At 36.1% G+C, this 26,117-nt stretch overlaps 1 protein-coding gene across 15 annotated transcripts in view; it reads right to left on the reverse strand.

Moving 5' to 3' along the window:
- The window catches only part of ARHGAP32 (Rho GTPase activating protein 32), a 314,573-nt gene that overhangs the window by 46,746 nt on the left and 241,710 nt on the right, over nt 1-26,117 (reverse strand). The window contains exon 1 of one of the 15 annotated variants that reach the window (NM_014715.4): nt 12,054-12,383. The exons of the other annotated variants lie outside the window; for them this stretch is intronic. The gene's annotated coding sequence lies outside the window, so the exon portion shown is untranslated. Of the gene's footprint in view, nt 1-12,053; nt 12,384-26,117 lie in introns of those variants that run through there. 15 annotated transcript variants of the gene reach the window in all.

Below are 26,117 nucleotides of genomic sequence, written 5' to 3' on the forward strand. Positions count from 1 at the left end.
ATCTTCAGGATACATTAAGTCAAAAAAGCAAAGCAGAGAACAGCATATTTAGCATAAGAAAGGATGAGGAATACACACATCACACACAAATTCACCCACACAAATATGCATGTACATGTGAGCTTATTTTTGCAAAAAGAAATACTAGAAGGATAAACTAGAAGCTAATAAAAATGGGTTAAAAACAACAGGTGGGGAAAGGGTAAAGGGTAAGAATAGGATGTGAAACTTCCCTGAGTGTATCTTTTTTATATAGCTTGACTTCTGAATCATGTTAATGTTCTTTCTACATGTTCAAAACTAAATTTAAAATATTTAAAAAAGGACCACGTGCTTAGTGGGATATATTCTAAGGACCAAAAAACTCCTGCAAAGTAATATTTAACTTCATCCAACTCCTTTACTATTGGTAATAATATTGGTAACAACTTTATACATATTGTGGGACAAAACAAAGATTTTCCATGTGAGAGAAAATGAGATACAATTATAAGATCTAAAAGGTTAAGAAGAAAAACCTGTAATGTCAACTTTGACTTGGAAACATCAACATGAACTCATGATTAAAACACTCACACACTTTCCTGAAGCTCTATCCACTTTAAAAGGCTTAGAAATAATGATATATTGGTTGCAATGAAGACCTCTGGTCTCAGATCTTGGGTGCTAAATAAAATTCCTTATCAAAACAAACCCAGAATGCAAGTCAGAAGCAGGCAAAGCAGAAGATGAGAATGGAAAGCTTGTCACAGAAAGCAAGGGGATGCCCACAGCTGAGGGATCCCTGAGTCAGACTCTTGTGGACACATCTGGGACGATCCACACATCATAAAGAATGGTTATAACTGATCATAAAAGATCAAATAAATAAAAATCCTGAGTCAGTAGTAATAGTATCCAAAAGAAAGAAAGGGAAAAAGTGACCATTTTCAACACAAATGAAGGGAGAACATTTTTTAAACTGCAGCAGTAGTCTGCCATATTGAACTAGGCTTCTCAACAGTAGAGAAAAGAACACATTCATTTCCTTCACATCGATTAGCAATTTTATAACTGGAATTATATACTGACCAATAAACATACATCTTCACAATTCAGTGGTAAGTCAACGGAAACATATTTATAGTTATGATCCTCCAAACAAACTCTACTACACAATAACACCTCACTAGTCAAAAGCAGTCTGTGCACAACTGGACTTCCCAGGACATTAGGTAACTGACTCTGCTTCTTGGTTTGGCAAGTTTAGATCAGGAACAAGGAAACGTGGCTATCTTTTCCTGTTAGGGTAAAGAGTATTCATGTTTATTTTTCCTAAATAGTGACACAAGGCGCAATTAAGTAAGAGTTGCAACAGAGCATAAAATTAAGATAATGGAGGGTGTCACTGGCAACTCTGTGCCCCCATTTGGCACTCCAGGGCTCTGGGAAACTGTGCTGACATACGTGCAGCTCTGGCTTCTACTCTGAATGGCCACTTTGCATTGTCACCTTTCCACAAAACATTGCTACGTAGATTAGAACTTCACATCTAAACTGGGTGTGTGAGTGGGAGGGGTGGATATGGTCTCTTCTTGCCCATCTACATCCCAATCTGAGACACTGAAATAATGGATATTCATAATGGTGACTAGTCATAAAGTCTTACGTGATTCCAAAAGCCTTCAAAGGAAGATTAAACTATGTTCTGCATAGTTTCAGCGCTGCTGGTGATGTTATTTTAATTGGACTCCTCTTCATTGTGGTAGACAGTAAGAAGTTCTGGCATACATAATTAAATAATCAATTATTTATCAAGATAGATTAATTTCCCTGCCTTGGAGATTTAAATAAAACTATTCAATTTAATTATACTCAAATTTGAGGATCTAGTAACACTTCCAAATATAAATCTCTTAAATTAGTTTTCTTCATTTTAAACTTTCTTCCCATTTCTTAGACATTAAAGTAACCAAAAAGAGCTTATTTGGGACACAAGCACTGATCCCCACCTGTTGCTTTCCTGTTCAATATTACTAGTTACTACCTTTTGAGGAGGAAAGTATCTAATACTGTTAATTCTATCAGAAGATTTCTACTGACGAAGGCAGGATGTGGGGTTAGATGATTAAGTGCTTACAAACCCATTTCTACAGAACACTGGCAAGCAAGGCTGTGAGGATTAAGGTCCACCAAACATCCTGGATTAGAGACACTAAAATGATACCAATGGTATTTCCACAGATAAAATATATAAAAAATAAAATGCAAACAATACTTAGACAAAAGCAAACCATACTACTTTGTATTCAAATTTCCTACTTCAGAGCTAAAATACAACATGTGCCACAATGTTATTTAGACATGACACACTTTATATTTGCAATCTTTTTTTAAACCAAAGACAAACCCTACCAGGCCAGTCTTTCCAGTAGTTAAAAGCCTTTGCAGTATGACACACGACCTAGTATCTCCAAGGTAAATCTTTATGATACCAATAACCAGTTTATAGAGAGATACTAAAAAACATGCAGTTCGTTAAGCCATAGTGAACCTTGGCATGGAGAGGCAGGGCAGTGCTGTTTAATTACACCAGCGTAATACTTCCCCAGCAATCCCAACGAATTCTTGCTTGCTCATAATACTTTCTCTAAAGTTCTAGGAATTGGTTCCCAGAAATGTTCTAGACTGACTTAAGATAAATCTGGGCTTGGATTAATTTCTGAGGGTGTATAGGAAAATGGTCTGTCCCAAGATAATGGCCTCAGCAGTAAGTTTATTTGATTATATACATCAAATTTTAGGAAAGGTAAAAAATTCACAACGTCAAGGAGACAAAATTAGAATGTAGTAGTGGGAATATATTAATACCTGTGCAGATTGTTCTGATTAAACCAAAGGTATAATAAGGTATGACTGTAATGTTTAACATGTCCAGTGGATTTTTACAGATTGTATATAATATCCTGTCTTTTATTCAAAGTTCCCAAACAGATTAGATAACCACTGGGTAGAAATTTAAGTGAGGAGAATACAAATACAGGCAACTGGATTACATAATGTTTAAGGTTCTCTTATAATCTCACAAATTCTATCATTCTCAGTCTCTGTTGCATACCTTAAAGTACTTTATGTTAAACAGATATTAAAAGATTTGAATTTTAATTTAAAATTCCATAAATTGCTTTTATTTAAAGCACGACAATATATCTATTCACGCTAATGAATATGAAGAAAGAATTTTTCTCTAGACAACTATCAAATCCATTTAATGAACTAAAAATGTTCTGAAAATTCTGCTCTTCAAAAGAAAATATAACAAATGTTAAGAATTGGAAAAAAGTGCTGAAACAAAACTCCTATTGTATTATACCTAGTTTTAACCTGACTACTATTTAAAAGCCTACTGGCTTAATGCTTAATCAGCTTTGTATTCACATAAGTCTCTAGAGACCAGTTTTAGGATACACTAACTGGAAAACACGACCAGAAGACACAGGCCTGGGGTATGACTGCCCTGGAAAATCAGGAGCTAACGTACTGATAGAAAGTATTAGAGCCCAATGTCAATGTACTTATTTTTAAAAATTGCTCAATACTTTGATTATACAGAAATATTTAAGAGAATAATATGATAAATATCCATGTCCTCATCATGCAGGTTTTTCAAATCTTAACATTGTGCCACATTATTTCCTCAGATTATTTTCCCTTAAGTATAAAAGATAGAGCTGAAGCCACTGTTTCCGCAATCCTATTCTCCTACAGAGAGAACCTGTATCCTGAATTTAGCATTTATCATTTCCATCCATGTAACGACATACTGTAACGACATGTGTATGTAGCCATAAACAATACTAACATTTTGCATGTTTTTCAAATTCAGAAATGGAATCATCTGATATCAAACTTTCTGCAAAACTGTGTATTCTGAGATTTATCCACGGCACTTGTGGTTCAGTATATCACTTAAACTACATTACAATATTCTCTTTTAAGTATATACCACAACTTATATTTCCATTCTCCTGCTGTCAGAGTTTACAAGTGTTTGTTCTTACAATCCTGACTACACTGTATAATCTGGTAAGTGTCTCCCTGGGCACAAGTGACAGGACTTCTCTGGCACTCACGTTTAGGAGGAAAATTGTTGGGTTATAGAATATGCTACTTTTCAACCATATTTCAACTTTGCTAAAATATTATCTAAAATGATTTATCAATATACACTCTAATTAGATGTATTTTTCAGTCCTCATTCTTCAAATCTTTGTTCTACTTAGCTCTGTCAAATTTCTGAAATTATATTTCACTTTAATACGCATTTCTGTGACTGCTAATCAGAATAGGCATTGTTTTCATATGTTTCATATGGCCATTCAGTTTTCTTCTTCAGTGAAATAACTGATCATATCCTTGCCCATTTTTCTATTTTGTTGTCTTTTTCTTACTGATGAATAAGAATTCTTCACATAATACAGAAATGAATCCTTTACGTATTATAAAGACTGACTCCAAGTCTATGGTTTATCTTTTATTGCACAAATTTTTAAATGTCTTTAGGTACAGAAATCATTCTGTACTTCAAGAGATTTTCCTTATAAGTCATAAACATATTGCCCTATTTCTTCTAAAAACTTTTGCTTTTTCATGTTTTTTAGGGAGAGATATATACTTTTTTCCATATGTATAATCAACTATTCTGCCATCTTTAATCGAATAACCTTTTTATCACTGAATTGTAAGACTGATTCTATCTTACGTGAAAAATGCATATAGCATGTAAGACGTCTGTTTCTGAGTTGTCTCATTTCTCTCTATCAATACCTCACTTTCTTAATTTGTAAGTCTTAACTGGAAAGATGAGTCCCTTCATTCACTATTATTTTCTAAAACTGCCTTATTTTTAGCCATTTCCCATTTCACATAAATTTTAGAATCAGCTTGTCAAATTAGAAGGAGAAAAAAAACTTTTTGGAATCTCATTGAAGCTGCACTGAATTATAGATTATTTTGGAGGACAGACTTCTTTATGATACTGAGCTTTCTTTTCCATGAACATAATAGATCTCTCCACTTATTTACAATTTGCTTATGTCCTTCAATAAATTGTTCAAATTTCCTTTCATAAAAGTCTTACGAACTTTTGTTGTAGATAGTCTTAGGAACTTTATGACTTTCTTGATGTTATAAAATGGTGTTTTCTAAATTACATTTTCTAATCATTTATTATTGGTGTACAGAAATGCAATTAGCATGGTTGCAAAGGGTAGACTCAGGAGTCAGACCTCTGGGGTTCCAATCTTGCCTCTGCAGCTCCTAACGGTATGATTATGGAGAAATATTTAAATTCTCAGTATTTCATTTTCCTCATCTATGAAAAAGTTTAGGCCAGGCATGGTGGCTCATGCCTGTAATCCCAGCACTTTGGGAGGCCAAGGCGGGCAGATCACAAGGTCAGGAGTTCGAGACCAGCCTGGCCAACATGGCGAAAACCTGTCTCTACTAAAAATACAAAAATTAGCCGGGTGTGGTGGCGGGCACCTGTAATCGCAGCTACTCAGCAGGCAGGAGAATCATTTGAACCTGGAGGCGGAGGCTGCAGTGAGCTGAGATCGTGCCATTGCATTCCAGCCTAGGTGACAAGAGCAAGACCCGGTCTCAAAAAAAAAAAAAAAGAAAAAGAAAAAAAAAGTTTAAAATAATAACTACTGAACAGCATTATTGTGAGAATTAAATGAGTTAAAATTATAAAGCACTTAGTGCTAGACAGAAAAACTTAATAAATGTGCTATTGTTATTTTTGTATTATTTATCTTTTATTCAGCAACCTTGCTGAACTCTGTTATTATTTCTTAAAATTTGACTGTAGAATCATCTGGATTTATAAATCTGCAAATAATACACATTTGATTCTTCCCTTCCAATCCTTTTAATTCTTTTTGTCTAACTTCACTGGACCTCCAATAAATGCCTCTCTTGTTCCTGACTTTAAATAGATTATTTCTTATGTTTCACCATTAAGAATAAAATTCACTTGGGTTTGTTGGGTAGAAACCTTAAATATACAGAAATTACCTATCCCCAATTGCTAAGATATATAAAAGGAACAAGTGTTGACCTTTATCAAATGATTTCTCTCCATCTATTAAGCTGATATTTTAGTTTGTCTTGTTTAAGTTTTGAATGAGGTACACTAAATTTGTAACTACTTTCTTTTCTTGCTTCTGACTTTGTTTTTTATTATTATTTTTATTTATTTATTTATTACTATACTTGAAGTTCTGGGATACAAGTGCAGAACGTGCAGAAGGCTTGCTTTTATGCTTTTATATTTTTAAATACTTTTATACTCCTACTTTCCTTGTATCCTTTGCAGTGACATAAATGAGTGCAATAGACTTGAAAAGGCAAGTGGCAATTTAAAAAAATAACAGCCTTAAGCCAGGGCAAAGTTCCGTCTTAGCAACTGTAATAAATGTAAGAATACTGTAAACATATTAGATGTGAACTTCTAGTAAAGGAAGACAAACACAGAAGAACTGTATTGGGTGAAAGCACCAAGAAAGAATGGAAAAACAACAATAGGCATCAGCAAATACCTTAAATAGCAGCAAAGAAAAATGACATCGATTTACAGTTAGAGTCTTAAGTAAGTAGTTGAAGTGAACTGTGTACTTAGTATTTTCAAATTTATTAAAAGGAATATTGCCAAGAGTTGTAAAACTAAACTTATCTTTAGCAAGCATTGTTATATGACCCAAAAGGATCTTTAGGCAACTGAGAAAGTTTCTGAAAAACTTTAGTTCGCATTCATCTTGGGAAATATGTGATATGAATCTTACTCAGTCTATAGCCTTGATTATATCAGTTAAATTAGTGTAAGCTTAACCAACAAAGCTTTTATTTACAAATAACTGGACTCAAATTAATCTGTGATTCACTAGAGTAATAACTCTACAAATCTTTTAAATAAAAATTTGTAGGTAGTTGGGCAAGATTTCAATATGCAATGTAAATATTAAAGGAACTGAACAAATACTTTTTCCAATAATACAGAAATATTACAAGTATTCTATAGAAAAATATACCCTTTTGAAACTTTTCCTTTTTATAACACAAAAAGACTTTAACATAAATAAGGCTTTCATATCATTATGACTAATGATATAAAAGTTCTTTAAGCCAATGACTAAAAATACACATGAATAACTCTGGCGATGTGTTTTTCCAGTTTTACAAAAAATATCATTCAAATCAGAGTAAAGGGGTTTCTTGCAAAGTAAACCCAGCCAAGTTTTGTTTGATGGAATAAGGACATGCTGAAGAAATTCTGTCACTGACTATTCCTATCTCTGTGAATCTTCTGGTCTGTTTTGTGATAGCTCTGCCCTCTCTCTGGCACCACCCACTGACCTGCTCCCAGTCCTACAAAGGCAGTATGAAGGAAAAGGTAAATCCTAACCCAGATAGTCAACAAAAATTGAAGGAAAATCTAGATGCTACAGTAATACCATAACGATAATTATTGTATACATAATGATTATTGAGTGCTTACTATTTTACTGTGTGCCAGGGCTTTACATGTATTAACTAATTTAATCTGTTTGTATTAACATCACATTCAAAATAATTCACATTCAAAATATAAACAAGTCTCTAATCATCCGAATTACCTCCTTAAAAGTTGATATCAAAAGAACAGGTATGTTAAATAAATTCTAATTATCTCCCATCACATTCTGTGTAATAACTTAAATGTAATAAGTTATCAGAATTACAAAACTTTATTCCTTTCCTCTCTTCTATATATCTATTTCTAATTATCAAGATAATTTATTATTCATATTTCAATTCATTTTCTTTAGTTTATTCGGTAATATCCTATAATATCTAAATACACAGTTGTGTGTGTGGTAAAAACATGTAGTAAGCATAAAATGTTAGCAATCCTATTTGAAGATTTAAAAATACATCCTTGAACCAATGACCTAGTCATTGAAAGCTTTTATTGTTTTCCAATAATAAGACATATAGTCTAATTAAGGTCATCCATCCAATCATGACATCATTGGCTAAGGTATGTGCTAGTGAAAAAGTACCAGACCAAGAATGTGGAGAGACAGTTTTAATCCCGATTCTGCCAATAACTCACTATAAGATTTTAGAAAAGGAAATTAAGCAGTTTAGACCTCAGATTAGTAATATGAAAAATGAGAAGTTTAACCAGACAATACGATTCTAGATTTTAATGAAAATACCTGAGAAATCATAAAGTACTCTGAGAATGTATGAAGTGTCAATAGCATACAAAGCTCTAAAATCTAAGAAACATACCTTTAGTTTAGGGAAATTTATCAGGAGAAAAAAAGACATCATTTAAAACGTCATTGGAGAACTTTGTCAAAAAAAATTAGGTTCTCTAAATCATCTTGGAAAAAGGCTGGTATAAAAATTTAAGATAAAAAAATCACTGTTAAAGGTTATTAAGCATATTAGGTTTAACACTTTTTAAATTAATTTTAATTATTTAGTTCCATGAATGCTTAGTAGTAATAAGGAGTCCTTACATAACTAATTTACATAACATGCTTATAACTGTTTCTTGGACTTGATGCTTGTACTACCTTTAATTGCTAAGGACATTCACAGTTGCTGGTCATGCCATATGGTATACTGTTGTTTACTTCTTTATTTGCTTGCAAGTCCTTGGTCAACAGTACAATGGTCACTTATAATATTCTTTGTATTAGAAAATGCCACATACTTTATAAAAATTATTTTTTGACATAGGTTTCAAGAGTTTACTGCAGTAAAAGAAAAATAAGGTAAATATCATCTGTATGTTCTGAACTTCTGAAAACTTATAATCTATCAGGTTGACGCTCACAAAGCAAAATTCTCAGTGTCTCTCTAGGAACCACTTTTTAAAATCAGGAATATAACAGTTTTTCAGCCTTGGGCTTCATTCCCCACTCCTATCCCAAGTATATGTCAAAAATTTTTTTTAGATAAATTGAGTCTTGAATTTTAATGTACTACAAAGCTATTGTAGAGTAGGAAAGTACAGAATCACTTTTGATCAATATATCACAAACAACTTTGGAAGTAAGAGGAAAAAAACACAGTTCTTTAACTGATGTATATAACAGCTGCAAGGGCTGTCTCAGAAAAGCTATCTGGGACCGGATCAGGAATTAAATGAAACAGTTTGCTATTCCAACCTCAAAGGAATAAAACCAAGTATCTCAGAAATTCATATACATGCAAGGCCACATTTAAAATAGCACCACTAGTAATGGCTCTTGACTGAAAAATGGGAAAGCTACTAACAGTTATATAATTCAAACAGGGTTCTATCTAATTATGAGAGAAGAGTAGACATTTCAAAAGGCATTACTGACTGGAATGCAAATGAATAACATTAAGGGATCTAGAAAATAAATCTGTAGTAGATTTTAGAAAAGAATCTTTTAGACACAGAAGAGGTAACAACAATTCACTGAGAGAAAGAGAGCAGAAAATGGGCCACAAACTGCTTCTTCAGAATATCCAGCACAACTCATGTTGAATGGCATACCAATGGTTAACTAAAATATTGGGATATTTGAATAAAACTGTATCTCTTCTCCAGGGTTAAAGATGAAACCAAAGCAACATCACTATGCTGCTGCCCTTCCTAGAGGAGTACACAAACTGTTACAACACAGAACCTGCTCATGCTAGACCTTTAAAAATCATAGTTCCCTTGGGAAAATGGTCATACGGTTAAGATAAGACTATTATTATCTACATTACACACTTACTTTTCTAGAAGCTACAGATTTCAGTTATAAATATCAAAGAAGGTTCAAATTTAGATTATGTTATTTTAGGTTGATATAAATAAGTTACACCTTTTTCCTGCTAAAAGTGATACTAATTTTTATTTCGAAATTTAAATTACAAATTTAAAATAATAAATACGATTGGTTCTGTTTCTCGACTTGGTACAAAATCAAAGTAAGAAGTATTTTTAACTTGCTGACTTTACCACCTCGGTTATTATATAAGAGACTATGACTAATTTCATTTCTAAAAACAGAAAAGGAAGATTTGCATTTTACCAGAAGCAGGAGGAAAAAACATGAAGTAGATATAAATTCCTGACACTTAAAGTATTTTAAAATTGGAATGGGATATTATATACAGAATATAGATTTTAAAACCTGCTAAGAAATTTTAAATTGTCTGGGCTCTTATTTTTCCAGGATGAACTAGTACTACTTGATAAGAAGCTTAAAAGCTAGTACTATCTCAGGAAGACATGCTTGTGTATTCTTACAAAAATTAAATATAACACACACAAATTCTTAGGAATTCAGGTACATCAAAGGTAACAGGACTACCAAAATATACATTAGTTCTAGAAATTGGAAAACTTAGAACCTTAATTTTAATGGTGTAAAAACTCTCTTTTGAGATAAATTTTTGTCAGATTAAATTGTAATCACATGTACTTTAATGTCACAGTCCTCTGCACTTTATTAAGCTATGAAGTTTGGTGTGGAACTTTGATACTATCAGAGGTGGTTTTTGATTTTGTGGGTTTTGTTTTGTTTTGCAGGAAGTAGAGGGGAAAGTTTCTATATTTGGTGAGTATGGAACTGACAATGAGTTCTTGTTAAAGAAATAGGCTTTGGAATCAGACCAAAGGGTTATAATTCAGTCCCTAATCACTTTCCAGTTGCAAGATCTTGAGCAAATTACCTATTTAAGTCTCAATTCTTTCACTCACAATGGAAATGACCCTAACAACAGCTCTCACTAAGGTTACTATGATGCTTACATGAAGTGTATGTGCCAAACATTAAATTCTGTGTCAATCAATAGGAGCTATTATTACTACTACAATTTCTTGTTACATTTCATCTGAAAACTTTGAGAATCCCTGAGGTACAGGGCTAACCAGAAAACTGACTCAGCTTTCCAGAACCTGGAATCTGGCTATCTATCCTGGAATCAGCACTGAGAACATGGCATCACTTTCTAGTCCTTCCTGCTCTAATTTTCTTAAATATAAACTTAACCTAAGACATTTTAGATTTCTATCTTCCACTAAATGCCATATAGCATTCTTTTTTAAAAAAAGAAATCATAGTTCAAACCATTATTATATGAGCAGTAGATGCTTTTTTAAAAAGCTGACTATGAAAATGAGCTCTAAATTCTGAAATTCCCCCATTTATGGTTTTAAAAATTAAAATATTGCTGTCATTTAAGCACTAGTGCAACAATCCTGGAAAGAAAAATGTTCAACCTCTGTTAAGAAGTTGAACATACTAATCAGCCCTATTAAGGGCTGATTTGTGATTCAGAGAAAATTCTGGTCTCCATGTTATTTTAATGAAAGGCATTTATTACCGAGGTCTAAAGAAACACCATATACATACGGAACACCACCTTAGTGGTAAAATCTCTGAGATTTAATACAAAATATTTTATGGATGGAGATGGTTATCCTTACCAATGCCAATACCAAAGAGGCGGGGAAGAACCATACTTGAAGGGAAAAGGCCAGAAAGGTTACTTCTTCGTGCAAACTTGAGGAGCCTCTTTACACAGTCTACCAAATTATTTTAAGTGCATTAGCACTGCCCATTTCCATTAATCAATAATTGAAATATTATTAACCCACCAGGAAAAAAATTAAAAAGATGATATAAGCTGGCTGCTTAAGAAATAAAGGCAGGTTCTTTTAATCATAAAAACTTTTATTATATTAAACTAATGTATAGAAAACAAGAAATAAGCTGATTGGAAATAGGAGAAAAAAAGATATTTCTTGAAACCGACTGGGAACATCTGTGTTGTACAATCAGCAAAGCCTACTTCAAAAAGTATAAACTTTTTGACAAACATGACAAATACTAATGTTCAAGTGCTGAATTTCTAGATAATTAAATAATTAACCATTTACCTAAGAGAGCAACCAAGGTAACATGTGCCCAAATATAATCTAAACATAGTTTCAGTGAAAAATTCTGAATGTTGCTTGAGTCAAATATTTAAATGACTGATTGAGATCTCCTTACCTCTTGTTGTGGTACAAGTTTTAAGATCAATACTTAAAATTATTCCAAATGACTATATTTAGCAGTAGATTCATCAGGATACAACAGCTCTGCATTCCGTACAAGAGTGTAGAAAATAAATCATAATCCAACTGGTTCCAACCTCACCACCACAGGTTAACTTCAAGTTAGGTCCCACATCACTGCCGGGTTCCAGCTGTTTTCAGGACCCCCTGCAGCAGCAGTTTTCTTGGCCCTGTTTTCAGTCCAGTCAGTGGAGCCCAGCAAGCCAGCAAGTGTGTGGGAGAGCTCTGCCTCCAGGAGCTTAATCCTCCTCTCTCAGCACATACTGCTTTGCAACACCACAGAAACGCCCCAGCCTAAACTCACACTTGCAGAACAGGCTTCACCAGAAGAGCTCCACCCATCAACCCCACACAGGTGAGCACTTCCTGCTCAGAAAACACCAGTATGAAATTGATATTAAATTATGTCTTTTCTCTTTTTAAAAGTTAATTGCTTTTCAGTTGTTTGCTAAGTAGGTGGGAGACAGTGTATCCAATAAAAATGATAGCACTTTAGGCTCCTTTAAAATAAGAAAAGTAATTGATCAAGTAGGAAGTACTGCCAGTAAAAGGCTGAATCACTAAAACAACAGGATAGGCTGAGAAAACAAATCTTTTAATATCTTTGCTGATACTGAGCTAAGATTGTTATTCTACTAACACATTTTTTTAAGTATCAACTTACACAGTCTCTGTGTGAAAAATTCTAAGACAATCTCTTATGCAATTATTAGGGAAAAAAATAAAAAAGGTTTCTTCAGAATGGGAAATCCAGAATTAAACAAGTTTTCCCAAGTACAACCTTCTCCTTCATACACTACACAGATGTTAAATATGTAACTCTCCTTCACCCATGGAGTCCCAAGGTACTTCTTTTCCTCTACCAGAGACATTCATTAGCAAAAGTGAAAATCTTTGGCAACTATTATCAAACTGACAATCAATCTCAATTCGTGACTTTTTAAAGCTTTAAAGATTCTTATTAGTTATTTGCATAAATACAATATAAATACTGAGATTCAATACTTCTACTAAATAATAATACTGAACTGTGTTAACCCAATTATGTATTTATTGAAGAAACAAATGAATTGGAAAATATTTACATATTTTCCATTCCAATGACTTTTTACTAATATTAATGTAAATTCTACCCTCAGGTATTTTTTAATTTACAAAATAATGTTATAGCACTTACTATGTGCCAGACACAATTCTAGGTATTTAAAAACATTATTTATCCTAATCTAATGAAGGCAGTTCTATTATTATCTCATCTTATAGATGAGGAGACTAAGGCAGAGAGATGAAGCAATTTGCCAAGGTCCCATAACAGTAACTGGCAAGAGATGAGATATCCAGGGAGGATTCATCATGCACCATTCCAAAATCTTCTGCTGTTGATTGAATTTATTCTTTCCTTCCTCTTTGAACATAGCTCTGAACATAGAATTGTTGATAAATGGTAGTCCACAATAAAAAACAATAAATTTATGTGATTTTAAAATAAGAAAGATCATAGAGAATTCCAGTATGTGGCAGGAACAAAACATTTTGATCTTTACCAATGGGACATCTGCAGATTATTGAATTTAGCTGAATAGGAAACAAGGCTCTTAAAATTTACTCCTATTGGAGAAGGCAAAGCCACTCTTCTTTTCTTTAATTTTAAATGAATAACATCTCTCCCTCCCAACCTCTTCCTTAGTACTAAAGACAGCAAGGGAGGGCAAGGGAAAAACAAAAGAGAGAGAGGAAGAAAAAAGAGAAAGAAGAGAAGGAGGGATGAGGGAAGAGAGTGAGAAAAAAGAAAGTACATATTTTTACTGTAGAAAAGCCATTTGGGAATACTTAGAACAATCTGTAAGCCCCATATATTACTTAACTTATAAACATCCATGTTTATGTTATGTAATATATATGTTAATATATATTATTTTATCATATTATATATAACATATTATTTAAGTAATATATGTTATATTACTTGACATATATATTTAAGTAATACATGTTATTACTTGACATATATATTTAAGTAATATATGTTATATATTACTTAACATATAAACATTGATAGGAATAACTGTATTCCACAATCATTGGCCTGTGTGTGGGAGATTAATGATGATAATTCTCATCTGAAACCCAAAAAGCTGTACCCTAATGCCATATAAAAATACATGGTAAGAAAAAGAGTGCTGCCAAAGCTGGTGAATTTGGAGTAAGGTCTGCATCTAGTTAACTGTATTGTGACCATGTTGTTTCCTGGTTTTGATAATGTACTACTATATAGTTATGTTCCAACTAGGAGAAATTGAGTGATGAATCCAGGGGATCTCTCTGTACTATTTTTGCAACTTCCTCTGAGATCAATTATTTCAAAATAAAAAGTCAAAAAATATAATTGACTGAAAAGATGCTGTGCCATCTAGTGACTGTGTAGGAGAGGTCACTTGTTTTTCTCTCATATTTAACAAAATGTTTGGTGACTATCCCCCTATTTTGGACTAGGATGTATCTTTGCATGGGTGGGAGAGGCAAAAGGAGAATTCACTGGAAAAGGAATGGCTTTATTCTAATCATTCTATCATAAAAACTACTTGAGTGGGGCTGGGCACAGTGGCTCACATTTGTAATCCCAGCACTTTGGGAGGCCGAGGCAGGAGGATCACAAGGTCAGGAGTTTGAGACCAGCCTGGCCAATATGGTGAAACCCTGTCTCTACTAAAAATAAAAAATTAGCCGGGCATGGTGGCGCATGCCTGTAATCTCAGCTACTCAGGAGGCTGAGGCAGGAGAGCAGGAGAATTGCTTGAACCCGGGAGGCAGAGGTTGCAGTGAGCCAAGTAGCGCCATTGCACTCCAGCCTGGGCAACAGAGTGAGACTCCATCTTGGAAAAAAAAAAAAAAAAGGCCAGGTGCAGTGGCTCACACCTGTAACACCAGCACTTTGGGAGGCTGAGGAGGGCAGATCACAAAGTCAGGAGATCGAGACCATCCTGGCTAACACAGTGAAACCCCATCTCTACTAAAAATACAAAAAATTAGCTGGGCATAGTGGCGGGTGCCTGTAGTCCCAGCTACTCGGGAGGCTGAGGCAGGAGAATCTCTTGAACCCGGGAGGCGGAGCTTGCAGTGAGCCGAGATCACGCCACTGCACTCCAGCCTGGGCAACAGCGCAAGACTCTGTCTCAAAAAAAAAAAAAAAAAATTACCTGGATGATTCAATCCCTTCACAGCATGTCTGCAAATTCTGCCAGCTCCATGGCCAAAATATATCCAGAAGCAGATCACTTCTCATCACTTACACAGCTACCATACTGGTCTAAGTCACCATCATCTCTCACCTGGCTCATTTCAACAGCCACTGCCAGCCCCTCTTCTTCTACCTATCTCTGCCTTTCCTCTTAACACAGCAAGCAAAGTGATCCTCTTAACAAGAACCAAACAAAAACTGCTCAAAGTCTTCCACTGCCTACCCAACTAATTCTGAATAAAAGCCAAAACCCCTATGGTGACACCCAGGCCCCAGAGAAGATCTGATCCCTCTCCCCTCTTGACCTCATCTTATGTCTTCACCCACTGCTCTAGCCAACCTGGCCTTCCTCCTGACCCTTTACCAAGTCTGACACACATTCAACTCGGTATCATTACACCTGCTGTTCCGTCTTTGGAAAGCTCTTCCTCCAGATTACATGCAGATCTCCCCTCCTCATCTCCTTCAGGTCTTTGTTCAAAAGTAGGTTTCTAATGAGCCATTCCCGGACCACCCTACCCTCCCTTGAAAATTATAACCCCACATAAGCCACTTCTCAGCATTTCCTAGTCTTGGCATCCGTCTCTCAGGTTTATTTCTCTTCATTGCCCTTATCTATCATACTATATTGTTTATTTATTTATTTACTGCTCTCCTTCTAGTCACACGTGAATACAAACACCAAAATGGTGGAATTTCTGTCTGGTGTGTTCACTGTTTTAGCCATAGCACTTAGTATGCACTCGATAAATTCTTGATCAATTAATGAATGAATATCGGAAATGGCCAAAAGCGGAAAAGCCTCTTTACTCAGGGCAAGAAAAAGACTGATTAGGGGGCTACTCCCAGCACTGACTAAAGGGCATATGGGTTTAGGAAACATTTTTGGTAACTATAATGAAAACTGTTCATGCTTATAATTACCAATCAAGAACTGTTTTGGAGCATCCATATAAAAGACGCAAATTACTATAAAATACAACATCTGCCAACAAACAAAACCACGCAGGTGGGGAAAAAAGACATATAGAAAGTGAAGTATCAAACTCAAAATTTTTTTGAGAGAAATGAATGTGAACTCAGGTGGGCTGAATGCAAATTCAAGTTTGTCAAAGAGTGGCCTAGGGAACCTTCACACAAAAAAATGGTAAGTCAGTCACAAGCGAGGGAAGGGGGAAGCCCAGAGTACCTTGGGAAGAGAGTAAGGAAACACGTTAGTGAAGCTGAATATAGGTAAGAAATGGGGGGAAAAAATGGCTGCAAAGATAAGTTAGTTCCACTATTTGTGAAACACCTTCAATTCTACACTGAAAATTTTGTATCTAATTCTGGCATAGAGGGAGGATTCACCCAAATATTCTGAAGATAAGAGTTACATGATGAAAGCTGTACTCCAAAATTTTAATTTGATAGTAAATACTAGGATGGATTAATTCAACAGGCATTCGTTGTGTAACCACTACACACACAGCCTGGGGAGGAGATGAAGATGAATGACATGTTTGTCACTTATGAAGAAAGTACAATTTAGTGAATATGTGAAATAACTGCTATTAAATTTGCACTAGTGGACTAGTGGTGGAGAGGAGATGGGATTAGGGAGAGGTGGGTCAGGGAAGCTTTCATGGAAGAAGTGGATTCTGGCCTGAGTCTTGAAATATAAGCAGGATTTCAACTGGCCAAAATGGGGAAGGCATTTCAGGGTGTAGGAACAGCAGGAGCAAAGTGAAAGCTATGAAGCCACATGCCATGTTCAGAAAACACAAGGAGATTCCAGTCAAGTACACAGGGAGAAATACTATACTAAGAAAATGGAAAAGAATGACTGGAAATGCTACAATGTAAGAGAGTTTGGGGATATTTTTTATGCATAGTGAAGAAAAATTAAAAGATTTTTTTAAATTAAAGTGGCATTAGGAAGGGACGATGACTGAAAACAAAATTAGCAAATTAAGTAGGTTCCTATAAGCAATTCTCTTTAACCTCAATTCAGCCCATCTTTTGCCCTAATTTCTGTTCTGTTTATATAGGCCTTATAAAAATGTAAACACATTTTATTTACTCCTATTGTAGTAAAAGCAAAAGGAATTAAATTTTTGTTTTGACAGAGAGAACAAAAATCTTTATGTCTATTCAAGGTTCTATAGTGGGCAGAATTCTGGGTTTTGCATTAACTACCTGCACACAAGCTAGTTAACCCATGTCAGGTGCATGGCACAGGGCTTGGTGCGCAGTCAGGGATATGTAAGCGCTGGCTGTGATTACCATCAGGTGTCAGGAGATTTCAGCAAATCCTACTTGTGAAGCCTCAGGCAGGTGTCTTAAGCTTCCAGTTGCTCCATTTGTTAAAAAAGGGTAGGGGCCGGGCACGGTGGCTCACGCCTGTAATCCCAGCACTTTGGGAGGCCGAGACGTGTGGATCATGAGGTCAGGAGATCGAGACCATCCTGGCTAACACGGTGAAACCCCGTCTCTACTAAAAATACAAAAAATTAGCCGGGCGTGGTGCAGGCGCCTGTAGTCCCAGCTACTCGGGAGGCTGAGGCAGGAGAATGGCGTGAACCCGGGAGGCGGAGCTTGCAGTGAGCCGAGATCGCACCACTGCACTGCAGCCTGGGGGACAGAGGGAGACTCCGTCTCAAAAAAAAAAAAAAAAAAAAAAAAACGGGTAGGAAGGGGAGGGGATGGAAATACATTCCCTATCCCTAGCAAGCTCACAGGGTTGTGACCAGATTCATGTCCAGTTTAAACAATGGAAATGTAAGTATTCATAAACCCTAAAGCACTTTATAAATACATGGTATTATAAATTTTCTGTTTTCCCCTGATACAGAGTGAGAAAATATTATCTTGATCTATCCTTTGCAATGTATTTGGGGAGAAAGCTTCCCAAGGCACTTTAGCATTTTAGTACTCCTTTGACTCTTTCATCAGTGCCTCTGAAGGTAGGGATTTTAACAATCTGATTCTTAACACACTTAAGCATTTGTTCAATGGGAAGCATATTCATATTCGGTGCAACACTCCAAATAGAGTAAGTAAAAACCTGGACCTCTTTTAGTTGACATATAAATGTGTGGTCACTTCTTACTAAAGTGACATGCAAAGAAACATGGCTACAAAAGAGCAAAAAGTGTTGGAAACTGAAAAAAGAAAGAAAATAGAAACAATCCAGGAGCAAGCAAGTGAAAATTTAGAACAAAACAACTGGAATTAGGTAATACTGAATGTAAAATAACATAAAAAGCAAGATACTAGAGGACTGGTTTCCTGAAACAACACTACAAATAAAAGCCCGGCTGGTCCAAAGTTACTGAGTTATCTCAATAGATTGTACCCATGTCAGTTACAGATCTATTTCCCTGTTCTACTCTTTTCTGTCTTCTCACACATGCACTTAACTAGTCTTAAAGAAAAAAAAAAGGTCTCAGCTTTAATGTATATCTGTTAACAAAAAAAAAGTTATCTTCAAATAAAACAGAAATTTGTGATGCAAATTCTTAGACCATTCAAAGAAGCTCCTTCCCCCACCATGGTTCTGTGAAAACTACTGTAATGAATGTTTCCTTCATGTACTGTGATATAGTTTAGATATTTGTCCCCACTCAAATCTCATGTTCAATTGTAATCCCCAGTGCTGGAGGTGGGGCCTAGCAGGAGGTGTTTTGGTCACAGGGGCAGATCCCTCATGGCTTGGAGCTGTACTTGCATAGTGAATACTCGTGAGATCTGGTTGTATAAGTATGTGGTACTCTCTGCCACTCTCTCTTGCTCCTACTCCTGCCACATGAGGTGCCTGCTCCCACTTCGCTTTCAACCATAAGTAAATGCTCCCTGAGGCCTTTCTAGAAGCCGAGCAGATGCCAGTGCCATGCTTCCTGGACAGCCTGCAGAACTGTGAGCCAATTAAACCTCTTTTCTTTATAAATTACCCAATCTCAGGTATTTCTTTACAGCAACGCTAGAATAGACTAACACAACTGTGATATCTTGGCATGTAGATTTATATCAATAAATAGTATCTTAAATAAGTATCTATATAAATTAAATATAGTTTCTGATACTCATGAATTTAAATAACATAGTAAATAAACACAAATCAATAAATAACAGTTGACATTCACTAAGTATCCAGGGGTCTTAAGTACCTTATCCATAATCTTTGAAATAATAATCTTGCCTCACTTTTCAGTTATGGAAATTGAAAATCAGAGAGGCCAAATGTGTATACCCAGACAATAAAATGTGGCATAGGGATTGAACCCAAGGTTGCCTGAGCTTTTGTCCCTTTAACCCTGCTGCTTTTCACACAGGTATATAAATTTAACACCTGCATTAAATCTAGTGTCACTAGTGTCCATTTTATGGGGTAGATGCATTAAGAAGGATCTTAGAAATTACCTGTTTGGGCAGGGTAGAGTTAACAGGAGATTACAATCTATTTCTTCATATTCTGCAAAATAATACATGCTCATTGTGATACGGACAGGAGAAAGGGAAACACTGGGTAGAAGAGGGTGGTCCCTGGCAAGGGCCACACTCTCAAGCCTGGACCTATGACCCAAAGTGAGAACATGCATTCCTGTTTCCCACCCCTACAATTGTTGCCTTTTCCAAAACCACCTTGGCCTGACCCGCTCCTTATCCTGTGCCCATAAAAACCCCAGGCCCTGCCAGCAGAGCAGTAGAGCCGTAGAGCAGCAGAGAATAAGAGAAGCAGCCGGACGTTTGAGAGAAGCAGACTGACTTCAGAGGGAGGGCTCGACGGCAGGACTTCAGAGGAGAGTTCAGCTGGGCATGGTCAAACTCCAGGGGAGGACCACCTTTCCACTCCATCCCCTTTCCAGCTCCCCATCCCTCTGAGAGCCACTTCTACCGCTCAATAAAATCCTCCACATTCACCACCCTTCAATTCATTTGCGCATCCTGATTCTTCCTGGACCCCAGACAAGGACTTGGATACAAGTGCAAGAGGCTGTCACACTGACCCTCCACTGAGTTAACATTTGAGCCACCCATGGATGGCAACGGTAAAAGAGCACACTGTAACACATGCCCTCTGGGGCGCCAAGGGTCGTGGGTAACTTCTAGATGCTGCCATGGGCCTGCACAGAGTTCTGCTCCTACCAGTTGCCCAGAGGTGCTCATCCTTGCCTCTGCACCCACTCACCTGCGTGCTGCCCCTGAGCTTTGAATCCTGCAAAGGGGCCAAGGGAACTATTCCATTTCAATTATAAAAAAATTAAATAATACACAACCAAATGGAGAAAAAATGAAATGTTTCTTACTGTCTCCATAATCCCATTCCCCTTTGCAGTTACGTACATAGCCTTCTAGATCCTCTTTCTATGAATTTATAATGGGATTTTACTGTTCTGTGATTTGCCTTTTCATTTAACAATATATCAGAGAAAAAGTTCTCTGGTTTAGTACATAGGCTTCTACTTACTTTGTGGTGGATGCAAAGTAATTTACAGTATAAAAGTACCAAAAGTATTTTTTGAAAATATGATTTCCAACATTTGTGTATTAAAGCAATACTGCAAAGAATATTCATCTGGATGGAAAAAATATTTTTTAAAAATGCAAAGTGACCAATTCAAAAATAGAAAGAGACTTAAATAGGCATTAATCCAAAGAAAATATACAATGGGCAATAAGCACACAAAAAGATGCTCAATATCATGACATTTCCGTATAATTCCCACCTGGATCAACAGAACATTACCAGTACTCCAGAATCCTCTCTCCTGCCCATCCCAATCACTGACCTTCTCTTTCCTCTCCAAAGGTAACTGCTATCCTAAGTTCTAATACCACAGAGCAGTCTTGAACTCTTAGGATTTTGAACTCTCTACATGTATACATGAAACTTTACAGTGTAAGTGTGTATATCAGGACATTCAATACTATTTTTTGTGAGATTCAATCATGTTGTTGCAAACAGTTTTAACTCATTCATTTTTACTGGTGTAGGGGAATTTACTGTATATATCTTCATTTATTCATTCCACCATGTATACACCCATAAGTTTTGCCAGTTTTTAACAAATGGAAATAAAGCTGTTATCAACATTTCTATGCATGTGTCTTAGTCTGTGTACATGAATCTCTATATACATCTAAAAGTGGAACTGCTGGGTTACAGTTGTGTATCAACTTCAATAGATAATGCCAATGATTGTCCCAAATTAATACTCCCATCATCAGCATATGAGAATTCCTATTAATGTATATTCTTGCCAACCTTAGATATCATTATCCTTAAATTTTAATTATTCTGGTTAAGTATGTACTAAAGAGTCAATAAGGCTTCGATCTGCATTTTCCTAAAGACTCTTTACAACTCCTTTGTCAGATACGCATTCTGCAAATATCTTCCCACACTGTAATCTGCCCTTTCACTGTCTTAAGGGCATATTATGATAAAGTTCTTCCTTTTAATTGTTTAATTATTAAGCTTTTCAGTTATAATTAATACTATGTCTAAAGCCAAGGTCATAAAGATATTCTATAGTATTATCTTCTAAAAGTTTTATTGTTTCGTCTTTCACATACAGATTTGTAATTCTCCTGGAATGGATTTTTGTGTATGGGGTTAAATAAGGATCAGGCTTCTCTTTTTTTATATTCAGATGTCCAGCTGACTCAGTACTCTTTATTGAAATGACTGTTCTTTTGAAACTGCCCTCCAATGCCACCTTTGTCATAAATCAAGTATCTATATAGACACAGGTTTGTTTCTGGACTCTATTCTGTTCCATTGATCTATTGGTCTATCTGTACACATCTATACCAACGTCGTAATTAGTGAAGCTTTCACAATATATCTTGACATCTATTACAGTAAGTTTCCCACTTTTTTGTTCTTCTAAATCGTCTTTGGTATTCTTGGCTCTGTATTTCCATATACATTTTAGAATCAGTCATCAATTTCTACATAGATTCCAACTCAAAGCTTGGGGCATTTTTCAGCAACTCTGTCTTGATGGGTTCTGACCTCCAATTTTTGTTCCCCTAGCACTATGATGACCTCCTCTACTCCATCAGCAGATATCCTAGGGGAATAATGTCTCCATATGCAGGGGTCACTCTTCAGATTTCCTTCTGTTTCATCACCTTATCACAATAATTGCTTACAGTTTTATTAACTCTCTAATGCTTCAAAGATATGTTTTTATACTTCTGTCAAAATTTTTTAACTGTCCTCAGAGGGAAGGTTGCCTAAATCACTAGTCTTTTATTTCCAGAAGTTAATGCCTCAAAATAAGCTCTGCTTGCTTTTCTTCTCTGTTCTCCATTTCTCCCACTCTTTCCCTCTTCTCTCTTCTATCCCCCACCCCTCCTCTTTCTTTCTTTCTGGTGGAAAAGGTGGATGATGCAAAAAGATGGGGAATTCCAGCATAGCAATTATTGTAAAAAGACCATTTAGCTTTATGCGAGAAAAGAAAAATACGAGAATTGAAGAATGTGTTAGGTGGCCTTAAGAGAAGACTGACCACACATAGCAGAGTGAGGAATCACTGAACTTGATGATAGGACAACAGAAAGTATCCAAACTGAAAACAAAAAAAAAAAAAAAAGAGAGAGAGAAAAAAAGAAAACAGGAGATCGTGCCACTGCACTCTGGCCTGGGAGACAGAGCGAAACTGTCTCAAAAAAAAGAAAAAGAAGAAAAAGAAAACAGAGTAAAAAAAAAAAAAGAAAAAACAGAGTCTGAGATCTGTGAGACAATATCAAATAATGTAACTGATATGTAAAGGAGAGGAGAAAGAGAATTCGGAAAAAGAAATATCTGAAAAGAGAATAGCTATGAACATAAAGCCTTCAAGAAAAGTGTCAGTAAATAGCTCCTCAGTGACTTGCAAGCAAAACAAACACAAAGAAAAACATGTGCTTCCCCTTCCACCTTTCCCCACCTAGACCTCATCTTCCACTATATCATGCCCTAGGGTGACTGAATAAAATGACAATTTCTTATAGACAAGCTTCCCCCTCTTTTGTTTCCTCTCCTCTCTCTCTCTCTCTCTCTCTATCAAACTCTTACCTTCTTTTTCCTAAGGTACCATGGGTACTTTCTATCTTGGTCAGGATATGGTGATTAATTTTCTGTACACACAAATAATTGAACATATTAATAACATTTAAGAACAGATTCAAAGAGAATATTTTTCCTATGTTACCCTTGTTGTGTAATAGTATAGGAACTTGAAATTTTCAGTCTCAAACTATAGCTGTATCTTTCAGATTTGGCATCTAACAGTGACAGATGGCAATGTTAAAAATAAATAGAACATTCAAGTTGTTTATACCGTAGGCAAAGACAGTTTTAAAGTGTGAAACAAGCCCAAGGCTGACAGAATTCACATCATCCTTTTCAAAATGTATTAAGAATGTACATTTTGGCTGGGTACAGTGGCTCATGCCTGTAATCCCAGCACTTTGGGAAGCCAAGGCAGGCGGATCACTTGAGGTCAGGAGTTCGAGACCAGGTGGTCAACATGAAACCTCACCTCTACTAAAAATATAAAAATTAGCAGGTCGTGGCGGCATGTGTCTGTAATCCCAGCTACTCAGGAGGCAGAGGCAGGAGAATTGCTTGAACCTGGAAGGCGGAGGTTGCAGTGAGCCGAGATCACGCCACCGCACTCCAGCCTGGGTGACAGAGCAAGACTCCATCAAAAAAAGAAAAAAAAAGCACATTTCCTTATGCCAACTCTGCAATGCTGCTCACAGAAGACAAAATACTAGCTTTTGAAGGTACGCTAGGTTTTTCTTGGTCATTCTTAATTTAGAAATAACAATGCTATGCAGGTCTACAAATACAAACCTGTTTTCCAGAACTATCAATAACTGATTAACTTTCCCAATGCTAAATGGTTCTGGAGGTTATCCCTACTTGAAGTGTCATTTCTCCATTCAAAACATGAGAATGGGCCAGGCACGGTGGCTCACACCTGTAATCCCAGCACTTTGGGAGGCTGAGGTGGGCGGATCACCTGAGGTCAGGAGTTTGAGACCAGCCTGACCAACATGGAGAAAACCCGTTTCTATGAAAAATACAAAAAGTTAGCCGGGCATGGTGGCATATGCCTGTAATCCCAGCTACTCGGGAGGCTAAGGCAGGAGAATCGCTTGAACCTAGGAGGCGGAGGTTGCAGTGAGCTGAGATCGCGCCATTGCACTCCAGCCTGGGCAACAAGAGCGAAACTCCGTCTCAAAAAAAAAAAAAAAAAAAAAAAAAAGAGAGAAAGCACTTGATTGATACTAACACAGTTTATTTTAATGCCAATATTAGGCTAAGTTTTAAAAACCCAATTTATAGTACATCTGAGTCAATACTATCAAAGATGAGACATAATAACTAATATAAGTTAAGCTTACACCACAGAAAGATGGATAAAAATATGTGCAGGAAATTAAATGTTTGATGTTGAATTTTAGTAACTTCAAAATAATGACCATAAAAACCCATTATAATCTCAACAGATGAATAAAAGCCTTTGGAAAAATTCCTGCACTCTTTTAAACACTTGACACACAAGAAACAGAAGGGAACTTTCTCAACCCTGATAAAGGACATCTATGAAACCCCCACAGCTACTTAATGGTAAAAGACTAGATGATTTCCCCTAAAATCAGGAACAAGACACGGATGCTTGTACTTGAGATTTATATTCAATATTGTATTAGAGGTTCTCACAAGGACCACTGGGCAAGAACAATAAAAAGACATCCAGATTGGAAGGGAAGAAGTAAAAAGTGGCTACTGTAGATACCATAATCTTGTATATAGAAAATCCCAAGGAATCCACTATGAAACTATTAGAACTAATAAACAGTTCAGCAAGGCTTCAAGATATAACATCAACATACAAAAATTATATTCCTATGGACTTGCCATGAACAATAAGAAAATGAAATGTTAAAATTCCCGGTACAATAGCATTAAAAAGAATTGAATATATTTATAAAGAAATTCAACAAAAGATATATAAAACTTATACTCTGAAAACTACAAAATATTGAAATAAATTAAAGAATGTCTAGACTGACTGGGCCTAGTGGCTCATGCCTATAATCCCAGCACTTTTGGAGGCTCATGCGGGAGGATCACTTAAGGCCAGGAGTTCAGGACCAGCCTATGCAACACAGTGAGACATTGCTACAAAAAACTAACAAATTATCCTGGCACAGTGGCACATGCCTGTAGTACTAGCTACTCAGGAGGCTGAGGTGGAAAGATGCCTTGAGCCCAGGAGTTTGAGGACTTGTGAACTATGATCACACCATCGCACTCCAGCCTGGGCAACAAAGCAAGACACTGTCTCCAAAGAAAAAAAATTAAAAATACAAAAGAATATCTAAATAAATGAAAAACATCCCTTGTTCAGGGATTAGAAGACTTAATACTGTTAATAATATTTCCCGAGTTGATCTACAGGTTCAATATACTCTCTATCAGAATCCCATCCTACTCTGTAGAAACTGACAAGCTGATTCTAAAGCCATAAGGAATTACAAGGGGCCCAGAAAAGCCAAATCAACCCTTAAAAAGAAGAAAAAAGTAGGATGACTTACACTTCCCCACTGCAAAACTTACTACAAAACAACAGTAATGAAAACAGGGTACTATTGGCATAAGAAAACACATATAGAGACTGGGCACGGTGGCTCATGCCTGTAATCCCAGCACTTTGGGAGGCCGAGGTGGGCGGATCACGATGTCAGGAGTTTAAGACCAGCCTGGCCAACATGATG

The sequence above is a fragment of the Homo sapiens genome, chromosome 11 (genome assembly GCF_000001405.40).
Source record: "Homo sapiens chromosome 11, GRCh38.p14 Primary Assembly".
In the NCBI taxonomy this organism is placed as follows: Eukaryota; Metazoa; Chordata; class Mammalia; order Primates; family Hominidae; genus Homo; species Homo sapiens.